The 20279-nt window shown below is 40.4% G+C and overlaps 1 long non-coding RNA gene across 1 annotated transcript in view; it reads left to right on the plus strand.

Annotated features, from left to right (window-relative positions):
- The first annotated feature begins 2090 nt into the window (after window positions 1–2090).
- Window positions 2091–20279, plus strand: part of LINC01317 (long intergenic non-protein coding RNA 1317) — a 590861-nt gene continuing 572672 nt past the window's right edge. The window contains exon 1 of the long non-coding RNA NR_126403.1: window positions 2091–2158. This is a non-coding gene — a long non-coding RNA (long intergenic non-protein coding RNA 1317). The remainder of the gene's footprint in view (window positions 2159–20279) is intronic.

Below are 20279 nucleotides of genomic sequence, written 5' to 3' on the forward strand. Positions count from 1 at the left end.
TTTGCACTGTTGCTAACTCCAGAGTGAGCTAGTGAGTAAGATGGCTGAAGCCTGACAGCTAATTTAAAGCCAGGGTCTTCACTGTCCAGAGATTTATCAGAGAGTCAAGCAGCTTGTATCTTTTATGACTTGCACCTTCTTCTTTTTCAGAGGTAGTAAATGAAAAAGATGGAAAAAGGAGGTGCCAATCTATTGCAGCTGTGTAAAATCACATAAACACCATGCCCTGGGCTTTCATTATAACACCACCTTGTTAGCTAATTACTGTCAGCATTAAATTACAGAGTCAGGAGGACCCACTCAATACCAATTCATTCATTTCAGGTCACAGTTTGGCAGAAAACATGTAGCGAAAGGCCAAACCTTTATCCACTGAACCTTTTATTTGTGACTAAACAAAAGTCTTGACAAGTAATATAACTTGCATCAAGCAGGGCTACAGCAAAGGCCGATTAATAGTTTTTTGTTTATTTAATAAAGATTTGCTTTATCCTCTAGTCTACTTGACAGGACTTATCATTTTGCATACCAAAAGACACAAAAGCTTGTAGATTATTTTTTTCTCAATTCAAGCATTGTGTCTAAGTATTACCAACCTTACAATCAATGAGTAACATGATTAAAAAAATAAGCTCAACATTTTACATTTCTCAGATCTGAGCAGTTGGTTTTCCATACTGTGCTGTGGAGGTAAATTTTTGGTGGGGTTGGTTTTATAATACGTTGATTGGAGAGATTTACTATCACAACCTTTTAAAATTCCATTATTGTACAATTTAGAACACAGGTGGTGAGACCAAAATGGGCTTTTCAGAAGTGTAGAAAGCTTTTAATCTGCTTAGGTATTTTCTGGGATGAAAAGGTATATAAAGCTACTAACTTTGCAGAGGGGTTGATTTTCTTTTTTACTATCTAGCTGTCATTCTTCAAACAGCTTATTTAGGGAAAAAAATCAAATGTATTTCAGCCTCGTATATATGGTTGGCAGTCTGTCATAGCTTCTTAAAGTGATTTTCTGATTATATAGAAGATTGACATGAGAAATTCAAAATCAACATATCTTAAACTCATGCCGGTGAGTTTGAATGATGATATTAATCCATAAGAATCAATTTCTTCTGATTTGCTGTGCTTGGGTTTTACAACATAAGGAAAATGCATTTGGTGAAAACACTTCTTGCTTTGAGTGAAGAGTTATTCAAACCTTAATCAAGCAAGAGCCTAGACTAGGCACTTTCTCACATATGACCTTATTTATTTAATTCTCACAAGTATGGTGTGAGTTACAGATAATTCTGTATTACAGATGAGGAGAGTCAAGCTAAGCGAAGTTAAATATCTTCCTGAAGGCCACATGCTCTTAAGAGAATTGAAACACAAGTATTCTAACTTGAAAGTCACTGACTTTTCTGCTAGAACACTGTCCCTTCTGAACACAAATTGTCAGGAGGGTAAGATTATATCTCTTGTTGAGCTCATCATTGCTGTTCTCAATGGTCAATTTTAAAATGCAGCGCCCCCCAGGAAGGTTTCTGGAAGCATACTCTTGTTCTCTGTTAATTGGCAAACCAAGAGTTCTTCTTCAATTCATGGATGGCTTTGGTAGCTTTCACACTTGTGAACATAAACAGTTCACTCAGGTGTTGCTCTGATTTGCCCACTGTGTTTTCTCTCATTTTAAGTCAACCGGAAGACAAATAAATACTCATGACAAGTTGTTAACAGAGTGGAAACTGCTAATTAGAGGGTTTAACGGAAGTGGGTGAGTATGAAAATGTAGTAGTCTGTGGGAGTCCTCTGATTGTAGACCTCTGAGACTTGGCGGAGATTGGGGCCCGGCAGCTACATTTACAATACAAACGTTGTACATCTGCCCCTCTGATATGGTTTGGCTGTGTTCCCACACAAATCTCAACTTGAATTGTGTCTCCCAGAATTCCCACGTATTGTGGGAGGGACCCAGGAAGAGGTAAGTGAATCATGGGGGCTGGTCTTTCCCGTGCTATTCTCGTGATAGTGAATAAGTCTCACGAGCTCTGATGTGTTTATCAGGGGTTTCTGCTTTTGCTTCTTCCTCATTTTTCTCTTGCTGCCACCACGTAAGAAGTGCCTTTTGCCTCCCACCATTATTCTGAGGCCTCCTCAGCCATGTGGAACTGTAAGTCCAATTAAATCTTTTTTTGTTCCCAGTTTTGGGTATGTCTTTATCAGCTGTGTGAAAATGGACTAATAGACCCTCCTTTATTAGGGCCTAGTGAAAGGTAACCTTTCTACTATGATGGATTTCATAATTGTAAAATGGTTGCTAGTAAGGCATCACTTTTACAAATATGTTTTGTGTCTTGTCTATACTATTTTCCTAATGAAATCAGGGTGAGGCAGGCTTTTTGAGTGTCTCGGAAGGGCTTGGCACTGAAGGGGGCGATATTAAATAGGACATAGTCCCTGACTTCAAGGAAACGATAGTGCAGTTGAGCAGCAGAAATGGGCAGATGTTTACAATGATATGTACAACAATAAAAAGTGTACAGTATAGAGTAGAGGCACAAGAGGGTGTTAGGAACTCTGGGTATGAGGGCTAAGGAAGGCTTTCAGAAAAGGTGGCCTTAAAGAATAAAAAGGGATTTGCTAAGCAGAGAAAACTACAGGTTCAAAGGCAGGCAAGAGGATGTGAAACAGCATAACTCAAACGCCATGGGTCCAGGGTTGAATCAGGTCAGTGGAAGGGGTACACAGGAAGGCAGATGTTAGGTTGTGAAGAGACCTGTGGACCATGGAGCTCGGCCATTGTCTTCAAGGCCACTGAGTGCCACTGAAGGCCTTTAGCAAAGGATTGCCATGATCAGATTTGTGGTTAGGAAGCAATACTCAACAGTGTGGGTACAGATTTTAGAGTGACAAAACTAAAAGAATGGACACCAATTAGTACTTCATGTCATATTATCTTTAATTACAAATGGATTAAAAACACTGGCACTCTTTTTTTTTTTTTGAGATGGAGTCTTGCTCTGTCGCCCAGGCTGGAGTGCAGTGGCTCGATCTCGTCTCACTGCAAGCTCCACCTCCCAGGTTCATGCCATTCTCCTGCCTCAGCCTCCCGAGTAGCTGAGACTACAAGCGCCCACCACCACGCCTGGCTATTTTTTTGTATTTTTAGTAGGGGGTTTCACTGTGTTAGCCAGGATGGTCTCGATCTCCTGACCTCGTGATCTGCCTTCCTTGGCCTCCCAAAGTGCTGAGATTACAGGCGTGAGCCACTGCACCCAGCCAAAACACTGGCACTCTTAAATGATTTCTAAATTTGGTGATGGTGCTGCTGTTATATTTTATTTTTTTGATACAGACTCTTGCTCTGTAGTGCAGCCTGGGGTGCAGTGATGCAATCATGGCTCACTGCAGCCTCAAACTCCTGGGCTCAAGCTATCCTCCCGCCTTGGCCTCCTGAGTATCTGGACTATAGGTGTGTGACACCACACTCAGATGATTTTTTTTTCTTTTTCGATAGAGATGGGGTCTTGCTTTGTTGCTTAGGCCTGCTGTCATCGTTTAATGTTTATAAGTAACTAAATTGATCAACCTTGGTTTTAAGCTGGATGCCCCAGGGAAAGAGATGCTGAGATGGAAATCTGTGGAGAATCGCTCTCAAAATCAATACCTATAGGGCAGTGAAGAAAGCAGGACTGGGCAGAGAGAGGAGGTGGGCTGTGCTGCAATCAAGATAGAAGAATCAAGCCAGCCCATGGGGCACTAAGGACTTGGATGACTCTTGCGAGGGGTTGAATTTTTATAACTCTGTGGCCAGTCACTGGATGTGGTCTGCTTCCAGGGAGGTGGAGAGACTGTCTTAGGCTCTGGGCAATTCCTGGAGTGGGATTCAGCTAAAAGACATCAGCTGCGATAGTCTCGCAACTAGGGGAATGAATGCTTTATTCTATGAGAACTCAGCCGAGTGATCAGATGCAAGAGGGCATCCACTATCACTAAAGACATTAAAATCCCCCTGAGTACACTCTTGTAGCGTAATCACGTTCATGTACAGACTCTCTTAGGCCTTTGCACTTGCTTTTTCCTCTGCCTGGTTATTCTTTACCCGGATCTTTTATGCTGCTGAATTTTTTCTTGATACTTGGTTTTCACTTCTAATATCTCCACCGAGAAGGCTTTTCTGACTACCCTGTGTAATCAGCCACCACTCCTAACAGTCACTGTCTAGGACATCACCCTGTTTTCTTTTCTTTATATAGTGGAATAAGATAAATATAAATCTCATTATCTGTCCTCCCATCCCTAAAATGTGAGCTCCAGGGACCTTTTTCTGTCTTGTTCACTGCTGCATCCCCTGTAGGCAGAACAGGGCAGATCACATAGTAGATGAACAATCAATATTTGATGAGTAAATAAATAAAAATGAAATTTAAGAAAATGGATACCAGAAAAATTAGAATTTTTCAAATAACAAATTTTGAGAAATTATTTTGCTTTTGACACTGGTAAAAAATCAAGTCCAGGCTGGGTGCAGTGGCTCATGCCTGTAATCACTTTGGGAGGCTGAGGCAGGCGAATCATCTGAGGTCAGGAGTTCAAGACCAGCCTGACCAACATGGTGAAACCTCTTCTCTACTAAAAACACCAAAAAATTAGCCAGGTGTGGTGGTGCATGCCTGTAATCCCAGCTACTCAGGAGGCTGAGACAGGAGAATTGCTTGAATCCAGGAGGCGGAGGTTGGGGTGAGCCGAGATCACACCATTGCACTCCAGCCTGGGCAACAAGAGCAAAACTCCATCTCAAAAAAAAAAGAAAAAAAAAATCAAGTCCAGGAAAAGAATATGTGTCTCACCACTCGTATACAGTTTTCAGTCACCCACAGAGAACTACTGGAGAATATCTCTTGATCATGTGAGACGGATAGGCCTCTGGCAAGAGCTGAGCTCTAAGATCTCACATTGAGTATAATTTTTTTTTTTTTTTTTTTTTTTTGCCTCTGGGAAATTTGAGGGCTTTTATTATTGTAAAAAAAAAACTATCTTAGAGGAACATAAATTATGTATTAAAGAGACTTTTGGAATTTCAACATAGAAATCACAAGTGGAATTTGGGTAGAATTGACCAGCTACTCCTCTATAATCATCTAAACCATCTTCCTTCAAATAGAAACAAACTGAAAAATGTAGTAATTTTCATGTGTAGAGGCAAAAAGGCACTTAGTACAGCTTGAAGACTCAAATTATTCTGGAAACAACACTGCGGTACTTGGCTTTAATTGGAACTCCATCTCTTAGAAACAGATTTTGAGTCAAGCCTCATGACAACTGCTGACTTCAGAAGGGCCGAAGATAGCAAGGCATGGAGGCAGAGCCCTTCTTATCCCTTCCTTTAGCCTTCCCCTGCCTGCTTCATCCCTGTTATTGTAACTTACATAGTGATCCCAGTCCAGGAAACACTCCTGTGTTTGTTTAAGAAGAATGGAAGGAATCTCTGGAAGTCATTTATTCCAGTTCGTTTCACTAGCCAGGAATGAATGGATATTATTTACTATACATTCACTTTTACTCATATTTAAATATTTAGATTCTTTTACTAAAATGTTGAGTTCTCTGATACAAGTAAGAGTCCAGAGAGAAAAACAGGCAACATTTTGGTAGTTATTAAAAGCACTGAGAATACTTAGGGCAGATCTGCAGTATTTTAAGCAAAAGAAGAGAGTCAAGAACTGCAGGGTAGCACAAGAGACCATGCCTGGTATGCAGATTTGGCTTTACCTAAGGAAGTCCCATTTAAGAATTTGAGAAGCAGGCCGGGCACGGTGGTTCACGCCTGTAATCCCAGCACTCTCGGGAGTTCGAGACCAGCCTGACCAACATGGAGAAACTATGTCTCTACTAAAATACAAAAATTAGCCGGGCATGGTGGCACATGCCTGTAATCCCAGCTACTTGGGAGACTGAGGCAGGAGAATCGCTTGAACCCAGGAGGTGGAGGTTGCAGTGAGCCGAGATCATGCCATTGCACTCCAGCCTGGGCAACAAGAGTGAAACTCCGTCTCAAAAGAAAAAGAATTAGAGGCCAGGCGCAGTGGCTCACGCCTATAATCCCAGCACTTTGGGAGGCCGAGACGGGTGGATCACGAGGTCAAGAGATCAGGACCATCTTGGCCAACATGGTGACACCCATCTCTACTAAAAATACAAAAATTAGCCAGGAGTGGTGGTGTGTGCCTGTAGTCCCAGCTACTCAGGAGGCTGAGGTGGAAGAATCACTTAAACCTGGGAGGCGGAGGTTGCAGTCAGCCAAGATTGCGCCACTGCACCCAGCCTGGGCCATAGAGCAAAAGAAAAAAAAACAGAAAAGAAAAGAAAAGAATTTGAGAACCTTAGCCAGGCCACTGGCTCATGCCTGTAATCCCAGCGCTGTGGGAGGCTGACGCAGGCAGATCACTTGAGGTCGGGAGTTCAGGACTAGCCTGGCTGACATGACAAAACCGCGTCTCTACTAAAAATACAAAAATTAACCGGGTGTGGTGGCACATACCTGTAATCCCAGCTACTCAGGAGGCTGAGGCTGGATAATTGCTTGAACCTGGGAGGCAGAGGTTGCAGTGAGCCGAGACTGCGCCATTGCACTCCTGCCTGGGTGACAAGAGCAAAACTCCATCTCAAAAAAAAAAAAAAAAAAAGAGAACTAAAGAAGCTCAAGTAGAGAGTGGGGCCTCAGTACATGGCGAATGCTCAGTCACTATAGGTGTTCAAATAGAGCATGTACAGCCCTTGCAAAGGGTATCCTAGAAAAAATTCAGGAAACAGAAGCAAGTTGATCTCTAAGGGCCCTTGCAACCTTAAATTTCTGTGGGTACAGAGAGTGGCTCTCCATGATTTTGTGTCTCTAGATAGTTGTTTGTTGTGATAAATGCTTTACTTTTAAAATTGTAATTGTTATTCTCTTTAAATTCAAACTTTCCTTTGGAATTCCTTATCTTCCTAGACATTTAAATATGAAACTTATAAGTTATTTATAGATCAGTCTCTGTTTCTCTTTTTCTCATGCACGTCTCTCCCTCATCCTTGATCTGTTGATTTTTTAAATTAAAATAGTCTTTTATTTAGTTTTTATTTTTATGAAACTTTTACATACACACAGTTAAAACAAAAGTGTCCCTCACCCTTCATTTCCTCTTCTCTACAGGCAACCACTGTAAGTTCCTTTCACTGTTCCATTTGGTATATATCATCATACATCTACATAGCAGGTTCATATTTCTAGGTATTGATTTTTTATATTTCGGCATGATTTATTGAATTCTCACTAGGAAAATAAGGATTTTATTCTCTTTCACCACTTTCCTTACCTCCTTTCTCATCCTTTCTCCCATTGTGTTATAACTTAGGCTAAAGCATTACTCAGTCTTACAGTATTATGACTGTTTACAATTGAGGCACACAGTTTGCATTTTCCTTCATGATTTAAAATTTGTTTGGATTTCATAATTATGCTTTTTGTTTGTGTGTGTAGTTTCTTTGCTTCCTACAGACATACACATCATTAATTCAAACCCAAACTCTTCTACATTTTTCCAAGTCTCTTCTCAATTCTTTAGTTAGGTGTGTCAGATAATTTATTGACGTTATCTTCTTGAATAAATGCTCTCCTAGAACCTTTTGGCTTGTTCTGGCCTGCTGCAGTCTGGACTGGTTGCCTCTGTAGCTGGTGTACAGCTGACATCCTATCTTGGGATTTTCCTTTCCCTGTTGATTCTTAGGCCTACTTTGTAGAACCTTTTCCTGTATCCCATGTCTTCTTTCTTGGTTGACTCTGTAAACCAAAAATAAAATTTGAAGGCCCCCCCAACCATCTGAATGGACTTCCTCCACTAGGCCAGGGCCCTCCAAATTTAACCTGAAAGACTGGTTCAAGCCATGACAAGAAGGTGGGGTGGTGGCGGGGGGGTGGGGGGGTTGGACACACCTCATTATGCCCTCCTACCTCTTGGAATTCAGCAAAAGCCCACCAGCTTTTAGCAGCAACGCAGACCTTAAATCTGATAAGAAACATTTACAATCTATTCTCGCTGAAGCCTGCTACCTGGAAGCTTCATGTGCATGATAAAACTTTTATGCAACCAAGACATTCCTTTCTATTGATAGTAAATCAACCAATTGTCAATCAGAACATTTAAAAATCTACCTATAGCCTGGAAGTCCTTGCCCCTCTTCAAGTTGTCCCACCTTTCTGGACCAAACCAATGTATATCTTAAATGTATTTGATTGATGTCTCATGTCTTCCTAAAATGTAGAAAAGCAAGCTTCACCCTTACCATTTTGGGAAAATGTTCTCAGGGTCTCCTGAGGGCTGTGTCACAGGCCGTGGTCACTCATATTTAACTCAGAGTAAACCTCTTCCGATATTTTACTGAGTTTGACTCTTTATAACACTTTCATTTTTGGTAGAGTCACAAGATTCCACTGAAAGATTCTTTGAGGCAAATTTTTTGAGCCTTTCAGAAGAGAATGTTTTTCTTCTACCCTCATACTTGATTGATAACTTTTGACTGAAGGTAGAATTCTAGAATAGTTTTCCCCTAGATTTTTAAATGCCTTATTTTCTGCTTTTTACGGTTAATGTTAAAAAACTAAGTCATTCTGGCTCCCAAAACTTTGTATGTAAACTGTGTTTTTCTCTCCTCTACCGCCTTGGAAACCTGTAAGATTTTCTCTTCTCTCTGAATATCCTGAAATTGCACAGTGACATCTATGTTGATGAAAAATGTCAAACTCTGTAAAATATTTGAAGAGATTTATTCTGACCCAAATATGAGTGACCATGGCCTGTGACACAGCCCTCAGGAGGTCCTGAGGACATGTGCCCAAGGTGGTTGGGGTATAGCTTGGTTTTATGTATTTTAGGAAGGCATGAGACATCAATCAAATACATTTAAGAAACACATTGGTTCGTTTTTGATGTTCGTGACCTTCGGATTGAAGACTGGATAAAGAAAATGTGGCACATATACACCATGGAATACTATGCAGCCATAAAAAAGGATGAGTTCTTGTCCTTTGCAGGGACATGGATGAAGCTGGAGACCATCCTCCTCAGCAAACTAACACAATAACAGAAAACCAAACACTGCATGTTCTCACTCATAAGTGGGAGTTGAATAATGAGAACACATGGACACAGGGTGGGGGCATCACACAATGGGGCCTGTTGCGGGGGTGGGATCCTGGGGGAGGGGTAGCATTAGGAGAAATACCTAATGTAGATGACAGGTTGATAGGTGCAGCAAACCACCACGGCATGTGTATACCTATGTAACAAACCTGCATGTTCTGTACATGTACCCCAGAACTTAAAGTACAATTAAAAAAAAAAAAGAAAAAAGAAATACATTGGTTTGGTTTAGAAAGGTGGGACAACTCAAAGCAGGGCAGGTTGGGGGGGCTTCCAGGCTATAGGTAAATTTAAACATTTCCTGGTTGACAATTGGTTGATGTTGTCTGAAGACTTGGGATCAATGGGAATGTTCAGGTTAAAGAAAAAGAATTGTGGAGACTAAGTTTTATTGTGCAGAGGAAACTCTTAGGTAGCCGACTTTAGAGAGAGCAGGTTGTAAATTGTTTGCTATCGGACTTAACAGGGTTCTTAGTTGATTATCTCCTGGATCTGGGAAGGAAGGAAGGAAAAGAAAGGAGGAAGGGGATTCTCTATAGAATGTGGATTTTTCCCACAAGAGACTTTGCAGGGCAATTTTAAGGTATGGCAAGGGAATGTATTTTGGGGTTAAATATTTTTTTCCTTGTCTTATAATGTTATGCCAGAGTCAGATTGAAAAGTATAAGTCACGATATATAAGGTCAAATAAAACCCATCTGATGAGAATTTATGGTTTGTAGAGCATGACTCCCTAGACCCTTTAGGTAGGAATTTGGGTAAGATAAAAAATCGGAGCTTAGTCCTCATCTATTTTTATTATTTGTGCTGGCCACGTGAATTAAGCCTTTAAAGTCTAGAAAAACATGTCCTCTAGCTCTGGGCTATTTTCTTGAATCATTCCTTTAATGGTTTCCTCCCCTCCATTCTCTATATTCTGCTGGAAACTCTACTATTTGGCTGGTGAATCTCCTGGGATGGCTCTCTGATGTTGCTGTTGTTCCTCTCCCGGTTTTCAGCTCTCTTTTTGGTCTCCTCTCTGGGAGACTTCTCCACTGTTATTTTCCAACGTGTCTACTGAGTTTTTCATTTCTACCCTTGGATTTTTAATGCTTTATTTTGTCTCTTCTCTTTATTTTGTTTTAATAGCATTCTGTTTTTGTTTCATGGATATAATATCCCCTTCTATTTCTCTAAGTTTATCAACATTAGTTTTATTCCCCATGTTCTCTCAAGAGTTCATTCCCCCAACTTGCTTTTCTTAATCAGTTGATTAAATTTTGGTTTCTATCATTCAGCTTAGTTACTTTCCTCATGTGTCTGGTGATTCTCCTGTGTGAGAGTAGGGAATTAGACTTGTATAGAAAATCTGCACAAAGCCTGGCATGGTGGCTCGTGCCTGTAATCCCAGCACTTTGGGAGGCCGAGGCAGGAGGATTGCCTGAAGCCGGGGTTTTGAAGAACCCCATCTCTTCCAAAAAATACAAAAATTAGCTGCGTGTGGTGGCATGTGCCTTGACTCCCAGTTACTTGGGAGGCTGAGTTGGAAGGATCGCTTGAGCCCAGGAGGTGGAGGCTGCAGTGAGTACAGATTGCACCACTGCACTCCAGCTTGGGTGACAGAGTAAGATTCTGTCTCAAAAGAAAGAAAAGAAAAGAAAGTCTTACTGGTCTTAGTGGATGGTTGTTGGTTGTCATTTATGGGATGCACCACAGGATGATTTGGCTGGGCCTTTGCATATCTTCCAGTATCAGTTTTTCCTTTTGAGCTGGTCAAATTCACCCAAAAAGAATCTTTTCATCTCCTGTCTAGAAAATTTATGTGTATTGCTAGAATTCTGGGATCCAAATTGGAGAAGGGAGCTGGAAATCTTAGCACTGGACATGTAAACCCTAATTTCATACTCCCGCCTTCATTTTCCATAAATCACATTCTTTTCCTTATCTGTGCTACATACTCCTCAGTGTGGAGACCCTGTATTTTATTTTTTTAGAGAATAAAACTCTTGTTTGCAAGGAAGGAGGGGTTTTAGTGAACTATTTCTCAAACAACAGACTTCCAACCAGTCTTTTTCTTTTGACACAGAGGACAGATTCTCGCTCTGTTGCCTAGGCTGGAGTGCAGTGGTGCAACCTCGGCTCACTGCAACCTCGGCTCACTGCAACCTCTGCCTCCTGGGTTCAAGCAATTCTCCTGCCTCAGCCTCCCGGGTAGCTGGGACTATAGGTGCATGCTGCTACGCCTGGCTAATATTTTGTATTTTAGTAGAGATGGAGTTTCACCATGTTGCCCAGGCTGGTCTCAAACTCCTGAGTTCAGGCAATCTGCCCGCCTCGGCCCCCCAAAGTGCTGGGATTACAGGTGTGAGCCACCGCACCCAGCTTTTCTTTTTTTAGAGACAGGGTCTCTCTTTCACACCCAGGCTGGAGTGCCATGGCATGATCACAGCTCTCTGCAGCCTGGAACTCCACGGCTCAAGCAATCCTTCCACGTCAGCCTTCCAAGTAGCTGGTACTACAGGCATGCACCACCATCCCTGGCTAAATTTTTAAATTTTTGTAGAGACGAGGTCTCCCTATGTTACCCAAGCTGGTCTCAAACTCTGGGCTCAAATGATCCTTCCACCTTAGCCTCCCAAAGTGCTGGGATTGTGGGTGTGAACCAACGTACCTAGTCCACTCCTCTTATTTTTAACTCTGTTTCTATAAGTACCTGGTGCTGCCAATTCCTCAGGTTTTGGGAGATTCTGTGTTATAAATTGGGTTGCTTCAATCCATCATCTTTATCCATGAATTCCATTCTTAGAAATCTCTTATCTATCAAGGACATGTCAGTATCTTTATTATTTTTCAAATGTATGACGTTAATAGCTTTTAAAAATAACTTTGTTCTCTGTGGTAATATTAGTTTATGGTTCTAATTGGCTTACACTCTTTATGAACAAGCATAGAATACTGCCCAAATTTCACTTTGCACGTGTCACTTCTTGCTCATAAAACGGTAATGAATCACTATGTAATTAAATACTATTTTTTATCCTGCATTCTAGGATCTTCGTGATGAATGTACATCTTTCTGGGCTAATATTCCATTACTGTATACATTCAATTAAATAAGTATGGATTCTTCATGATTCCCTCTCCTGCTTTATGACTTCTTGTCTCTTTGTCATTGTTTCTCACAGTTCTTAGAGCGTGGAAGTTCCTCCCTACCCTTTTCTGACTATTGCAATGTTATTTCCCCCTCAGTGCTCATTTCCAGGGTGACCTCTTTCGTGAAATCTTTATTTCAGTATTCCTTCATTCATATGGTCATCTTTTTGCTCATTCACTGTATATTTACGGAGCCCCTAGCATGTGCTAGGCAATGTGCTAGGCTACAGGGATACAAAATAAGCAACAAAGACATTGTCCCTGCCCTCATAGAGCTTACAGTGCAGTGGGAACAGGATGGAAGCGGGAGACAGATTTAAATAATGACACAATAAATACCTAGCTATGAGTTGTGATGAGCATTAAGAAGAACCGATTGTGTCTAAAAAGTGAACAAAGTCTTCCCTGCCTAAGTGACGTTTGGGCTACAATGTGAAGATAGGGAGGGGATGGAGCATTCTTGGTAAAGGGAAGAACAAGGGAAAATCTAGGAAGTGTGAAGGACTGAGGAATGTTCAGTGATCCGAAGGAAGACCAAAGTGACAAGAGAGCAAAGCGATACGGTGGCAGATGATGGGACTGGAGAGTTAGGCAGGGTCTAGATCAAGCAAGGCCTTGTGGTCTAAATTAAGGAATTTTGCACCTTACCATAAGGCTAATGTAAAGTTCCTGAAGTGGTTTGAGTGGGAAAAGCTATGACTAGATTTGTATTTTTACCACATCACTCCACCTGCAGTGTGCAGAGAACATTGGGTAGGCTCAGAATGGAAGCAGGGAGGCTATTTAGGAGGCAGTGCAATTCATGCCTATGGGAGATAATGGCAGCTTGAACTCAGGCTATGGCAATGGTGATGGAAAGAACGTGAAAAATATTTAGAAGGTAAAATTGACGGGACTTGATGGACTGGATCTGGTAAGGGAGAGGGAATAATGAGGGAAGATTCCTGAATTTCTGGATTGTTCAAAGGGGTGGATGTTGATTCACTGAAATGAGAACATTGTCTCCTCTTTTAGGATATAAAAGAATAATGCAAGCCAAAATGTGCTGTTTTGCGTATGTTTTTTTCTGACTCTCCCCACTAAACTACAAGCATAGTGAAGGAGAGAATATGCTTCATCTCTGTATTTGCAGATCCTCCTATCCCCAAAGTGTCCAGTCCAGTGTTTATACCAGTGGAAGGAAGAGATAATGCTTGATTCTGATTTTGGAAACTGGAATGTGACTGAGAGTTGGACTTAAAAAAAAAAATAGGCGGCTGGGCGCAGTGGCTCATACCTGTAATCCCAGCACCTTGGGAAGACAAGGTGGGCATATCACGAGGTCAGGAGATCGAGACCATCTTGGCTAACACAGTGAAACCCTCTCTCTACTAAAAATACAAAAAAATAGCCGGGCCTGGTGGCATGTGCCTGTAATCACAGCTACTCATGAGGCTGAGGCAGTGGAATAGCTTGAACCTGGGAGGTGGAGGTTGCAGTGAGCCAAGATTGCACCACTGCACTCCAGCCTGGGCGACAGAGTGAGACTCCGTCGCAAAAAAAAAAAAAAAAAAAAAAAAAAAAAAAAAAAAATTGGTTTAGGAAATATTTTTACCTCCATCTTCTAATATTTTTTTCCAAGTTGTATGAAAAACAAATGAGATGGCAAATATAAAAATATTTGTGAGAGAAAAAGGTCTCTCAAAAGGGATTTATGTCATTATAATCATTATACTTATGTTTTCTTTGGCCCTCACTTTAAGTTCCATATATTTCTCTTATTTGTAAAAAGGAGAACAAGGTAAGACATATTAACAAAGGATCTAATCAGTGCCAGATATAATGAGATAGATTTGTTTTTGCTATGCACACCACTCCATGGGATGTCTGCTGGACCACTTCCAGCTATTATCCTATATGTGTTTGCAGAAACTTCTTCCTTACTTAGTGTATTACGTAGTATTTGTCCTCATTGAATCTTAATCAGTCTTTAAGTAAAAGCAATTACTTAATAAATGTTGAAATTAACTAGTTCTTGAAAGCATACAAAGGTTTTCGTTAGGAAAACCTTTGTAAACATCATTAAAACAAATGTCATAGGACATTTGGAAGACAAAACGTCTTTCTGGTTCATAGATTTCAAATACTGTAAGACCCATAAAACAGTGCAGCTTATCACCTAGCCAGTGTAAAGTATTGTGAAATACCCAGTGGTGCTGTCTTTGATGGTTAAAAAGGGTTTTTATTTATCTTTTGGGGTAAATTAACTATTTGGAAAATATCAATAATGAGGGACAGTCTTTTGCACTTTGATATTTTCTATTGCCTTATGTTACCACTGTACTATCAAGCAGAAAAATATTATATCCCTATCTGAGTGATATATCTACATTAAAGTTCAATTTCACCTCTGAAGTGAATATGAATTGTATTTAATGAAACTCTAAGAGCAGTTGTACAGAGTGAAAAGGCCAAATAATTTGGAATCAAATTTGTCAAGTAACATTTTACAAAAGTGACATATTTTCTTTTTTCATTCTTCATCATGCTCACAATTCAAAACTGAGTCCAAATGTCACATCACCTGTTTTGATTCGTCTCTTCTCTGCCTGACAGAATTAGGCTTTTTCCTCTGGGCTGAAACAGCCCCTTTTCCTTTCCTCTGAAATAAAACTTGCAGCATGATATTGTAAATTTTGGGTTTCCTGAAGGGAAATGATTTTCTATTACTCATCTTTGAACCCCCTATGCCCATCAGAGTTCTTGGCCCACAGCAAGAGCTCAACATGTTTGTTGAATGAATAATGTAAATTCCCCCAAAGCACATGAACTCATTTCATGCTAAAAAATTTCATGTTCAAATGTGTATTAGCTAGTTTCTGTAACAAATAAACTCCAAAATTTCAGAGGCTTGACCAAATGGAATTTTATTTTTTATTCATATAACAGCAGTGTGGTTGTTCTTGGTCAGCAGGAGGGTAGCTTTCAAGGACTCATACTCCTTTCTTTTATCTCTGCCTTTCTCTAGGGCCTCAGTCAGAGTCTTAAATTTGTGTTGATTTACATCTTTGTAATATATAGAAATCCCTGGATATATTCTTATATAATGCAATGCATACTGCCTTAGGCAAGCCACTTACCTCTCATTAGTTCATATACTTAATATTTGAGAGTCTACGATATATAAGACAATTCTTTAGGCTCTTAGGATATAACAGCTAATGAAACAAAGATCTCTGCCCTTGTGGAACTTACATTTTATCGGAGGTAGACAATGAATAATGAGTTAAATAAATAAAATCATACACTATGTTAGATGGTGATAAGTGCTATGGAAAAATAAAAGGTGTGGCAAGGCAAAGGAGATTAGGAGTATGTAGATGGTTAGTTGAAAACGGGGTAGATTTACAGCATAGTGGAAATCAACAGTTCTGTTTTGGCCACTCACTTTACAGAAGGGCTGTGAAGGAGGCAGGAGGTTTGAGGAATCTGGAGTTTGTGGGAGAGGAGTAATCCTGACATAGAAACTTGAGAGTCATCAGTGTGTGAATGCGATTTGCACCCAAGAAGTGCATGGGACCTCTGAGGGAGTAAGGTTAGATTGAAAGGAGGTGAGACCTGAGGACTGAGCCCTGGGGACATCCCAGCATTCATAGATTTGTAGAGAAGGCAGAGCCAGCCTGAGACCGAAGAGTGCCAAACCAGGGGAAGGTTTGGGTGTCGGAACTTGATGTAGAAAGTGTTTCAAGGAGAGTGTAGACAAGCACATCAAATGCGGCCAAGAGGATGAGGAAGATGAGGACTGAGAACTGTCACTGGCTTTGGAAGAAAGGAGATAATTGCTGATCTTGGTAAGAGGCATTTCCATGGAGCGGAGGAGTAGAAAGCCTGATTAAAGTCGTTGGAGAGGGAATGAGGAAGTGTGGGTGGTAAATACATAGCACTTTTCCAAGGAGTTTTTCTGTGAAAGGGGGCAAAGAAGTGAGGTGGTAGCAGGGTATCACGCGTGTGTGTGTGTGTCTACCTATGGACAAAGGAGGTTGTTTTGCTTTCTTTTCCTCTTCTTTTAAAAAAAACAAACATGGGTATGTTATTATGACATGTGTGCCACCAAAGGGAATGACCCAGTAGAGAGGAGGCATTGTTGAGGTATGAGAGATAGGAGAATTTAAGAAGTGAAGCCTTGAGATGGCCACAGAGGATGCGATTCATAGCTCAAGTGGAGGGTCTTTCTTGAGGGAAGTGACACAGAGGGCAGCATGGCTAATAGAGAGCTTGGGCTCTGGATGAGGCAGCATCCCCTCTTTTATCCTATTGGACAATTCTCTAGTTTCAAATACATTCTTGATATGGATGCTTACCTGGATTTGAAGGATCTTATAAGGCTGAAATTCACAACATGTTCTCAATTTGGTGGTGGAAGAGATAGTGAGAAGCTGTAACTTATGCAATGGTCGCCTGGCTGACTCTTCCTATCATTTTACTCTCAGTTTATCACTTCCTTGAGATACCACCCTCATCTAAATTATGTTCTGCTGTTTGCTAATACAGAACACGTACTTCTCCCGTTATGGCACCTACCACATTTTATTTTAGTTTTTTGATAAGTTTTCTTGTTCTTTCGCTTAACTAAAAGCTCCATGAGGAAAGCAACCATATTTCTCTTTCTCTCTATTGTAACTCCAATAACTGCACAGCCCAGCGTCAAAGAAGAATTGAATACAGATATGCCTACCAGGCAGTGGGAATGTAATACATATATTTGTTGAAAGAATAAATAAATGAGATTGTGTATGAGAGAGTGTTCAGATTTAAACTAACTACCTTTTAGATTTTTTTAGCAAGATCTCAGGAAATCCTTTTCTAATTCAATGAGAGGTAGGGATTTATGTGGAGAAGAGTCTTTAATGATATCCACCCAGACATCCATTTTTTTCCCTTGCATTGTCACAAAACATCTGAATTAGATTATGGCTGAAAAAATATAATTGCGTTACATTCATGTGATTTAGTGACACAAATTATTTGTTAATAAAGTTTCTTACACATATGTAATAGATACCAATTTTTTTCCTGACATTCAGGGAATAATTTTATCTTTCTTGAGAAGGATTTTATGAGAAATGGTATTAGCTCCCACATGTGCAAACCAGTGAAAAATCCAATATTAATCATTTTTAAAGTTGTCCAACGTTGTTTTGTACAGTCATGCTGTAGGCTTGTGTCATCCTTATAAAATGGTCCTGCAGCCTCTCAGTTCTTGAGTGGGGCAAATCCCTGGTCTCATCCAGGGTTGCAATTATGGCTGTTATTCTTATGGTCACATGATGCTGTGGCTCAGATGCTGGGTCCATTTGTGGTCCCATTTATGGGCCCAACATTGCTATTCCACATCTCCAGATCCAGGTCCTTGCTCATGTTCTGCAGAAACTCCACATGAGAGCATCTTGGGTAGGTCCCCAGACTGGGCTCCTGATGTCCTGCCCTGTACCCTTTAAGTGCCTGACACCTTTAAGACCCTGCCCCTGAGCTGCTGCAGAATCTGCAAACCTTGTCCTTATTCACAATTCTGCATTATCTAGTGGAGCAAAGCCTAATTCTCCCCTTCCAATGTCCCCAATACAGAAAAATTCATCCTGCTTCTTCTTTCAAAACTAGGGCTTCAGGAAGCACTAGATAACCCAGAGCACCTAGCCTCAGACCCACCGCAAATGAACCTGTGTTTTTGGGAGTGAAAAGGACCTGACTTCAGGAACACAGAGGCTTGATTCCTTCCTTTCAGATGGATCTACAGCAACTGGGAACAAAAAAAGCAGAAATTAATTTCCCAGTTGGCATCCTGCTATATAATATTTTCAATAAGTCACGTCGTAAACACTCAATACACGTTTGCTGAATGCACTGGTTTCTAACACTATACAAGAAACCCCTTTAATATACAGATAACATTTTTAATTCGCACTTTGCATAAATGGTTGGGCTAGAAGCCTTAAAAATTTGTGGTCTGGAAAGTAAACTTAAACATTACCTTTAACTTCACTGTTTTTAATATTCTTAATTTGTCTGAAACATTTTCCACACAAAACTGACCTATTTCTATGTGGCTGACTGAAGATAGTAAGCTCATGTAGGATTTAGCTCTTGATATCTTATTTTCTCTAGCTTACAAACAGAAATATTTATTTTAGTTGCCTGAAACATATACTCACGGTCAGATCTGGGGGTATGTAACCATTGTGTTTATAGGCAAAGAATGATCAAGTATCTGCATCTCTCTGTTCCTCTCCGGGATTTACTGTCAAAAGCCATGCTTGCCCGGTCACAGTATCGCCTGGTCAGTCTAGCTTCTGTGGAAGTCTGTTATTTTCCTTGATTTCTTGGGTTAGAATGAGTGACCAGAAACACATTCTGTCTCCCAGGATACAAGCCTATTGAGGTTGCTGGAAAATGAGCACAATTTGGATCAGCTCATTAACTGCAATGGTTTTCAGAGCATCACACAGAGCATGTAACCCTATGTGGTCAAAGACATTGCCCATTAGCCAGCATCTGGACAATCACCTTTCCATGTGGTTTCTCTGAAAGATTTCACACTCTCTATAACTGAAGCAAGGAAAATAGAACACCTTTAATGAGCAATTACAATTAACACACTGACTCACTGAAAAGTCAAAATTGTGGTATGTTAGGTATTAGTATATATATTTGTAATCATGTTTGATTTTGATTGTCTTACAGCTAGCACTTTTTTAAGAAGACTTTTTGAGTATTTTCTGAAAGAAATGATAGTTCTGATTCAATATAGGTTCAAAGAAGACTACAGAGATATATGTGGCCCTGCCCATGACATTCTAGGTGGCCTCAGGCAAGCCATTTTACAGGTAATGAGGGGCTGGGCTAAATCAGTGCTTCCCCATGATGACTGAAAAATTAAAAATCCCCTTGGGAGCTTTTAAAAGTACCAATTTTCAGGTACTGCCCCAGATTGATTAAATCAGACATTGTGGGGTGGGAGCTGGCAGTTGTATTATTTAATAGCTTCTCCAAATGATTTTACTGTGCAGCCAGGATTGAGACCATTAGACTGGATGATCTATACATGTTTTACCAGCTTTCACAGTCTATGAATTATTTCAATGTGTTTTCCCTGGAAGGAAGTTTCTATTATACTGCAGTCTTTTTATTCAAATTTTTGGTGGCATTTCCCTTATTTTTCAATGTAAACATTGTTTAGATAATTTGAAGAAATAAACATCACAATTTTGTATTTGAGGTTTCTAACAACATAGAGCTGGAGAGGAGGGCAGTTTTGGTGTTAGCTAGGCTGTGAGTCTATATGCAAGTGAGGGGTGGTCTCCAATGCCTGTCAGTTACTTGACCAGTGTGTCTGTGATCCAAGGGCCTGGCTGACTCCCTCAAGGGTAGTCCTGCCTTTAGCACTAAGGTTAGGACCCAGAATCATCTGAGCACTGCTGAATAGAAGTCCTTTAACTTGACATGTAAGAATCATTGCACAGAACTCCAAGTGTGAAGGATGCTAGGTGGTGTTCATGTGCAGCTGGGTTGAGAAACATTGACCACACTGATACAATCTAATTCCTTATAAAATGTAAAACATAATTGGCACCTTGTAATTTAATTACCATATGCATAGCATAAGACTAGCTGTGTAGTTTAGGCTAAATATGTTCTGTGTGCCAGAATTTTGATCTGTAACATGGAGCTAATAATAGTACCTTTTAATTGGATTATAATGAAGCTTGGTTGAGATGATTGAGGAAATGAGCTTAATTTAGTGCCTGGAACATGGTAATCACTCAAAAATGTTACCTATTATTACTAAAACTATGGCTATCACTATTGTTATATTATTATTTTTTCCTGCTTTTACCTTTATATTGATATTAAAAAAAATTATGGGTGTGGGTGTGGGGGAAGGGGCAAGCCTTCTTTTCTATGATTAACAGCAGGAGCTGATGGGAACCAAAAGTTCCAGGGAAT

This window comes from Homo sapiens, chromosome 2 (genome assembly GCF_000001405.40).
Source record: "Homo sapiens chromosome 2, GRCh38.p14 Primary Assembly".
Classification (NCBI taxonomy): Eukaryota; Metazoa; Chordata; class Mammalia; order Primates; family Hominidae; genus Homo; species Homo sapiens.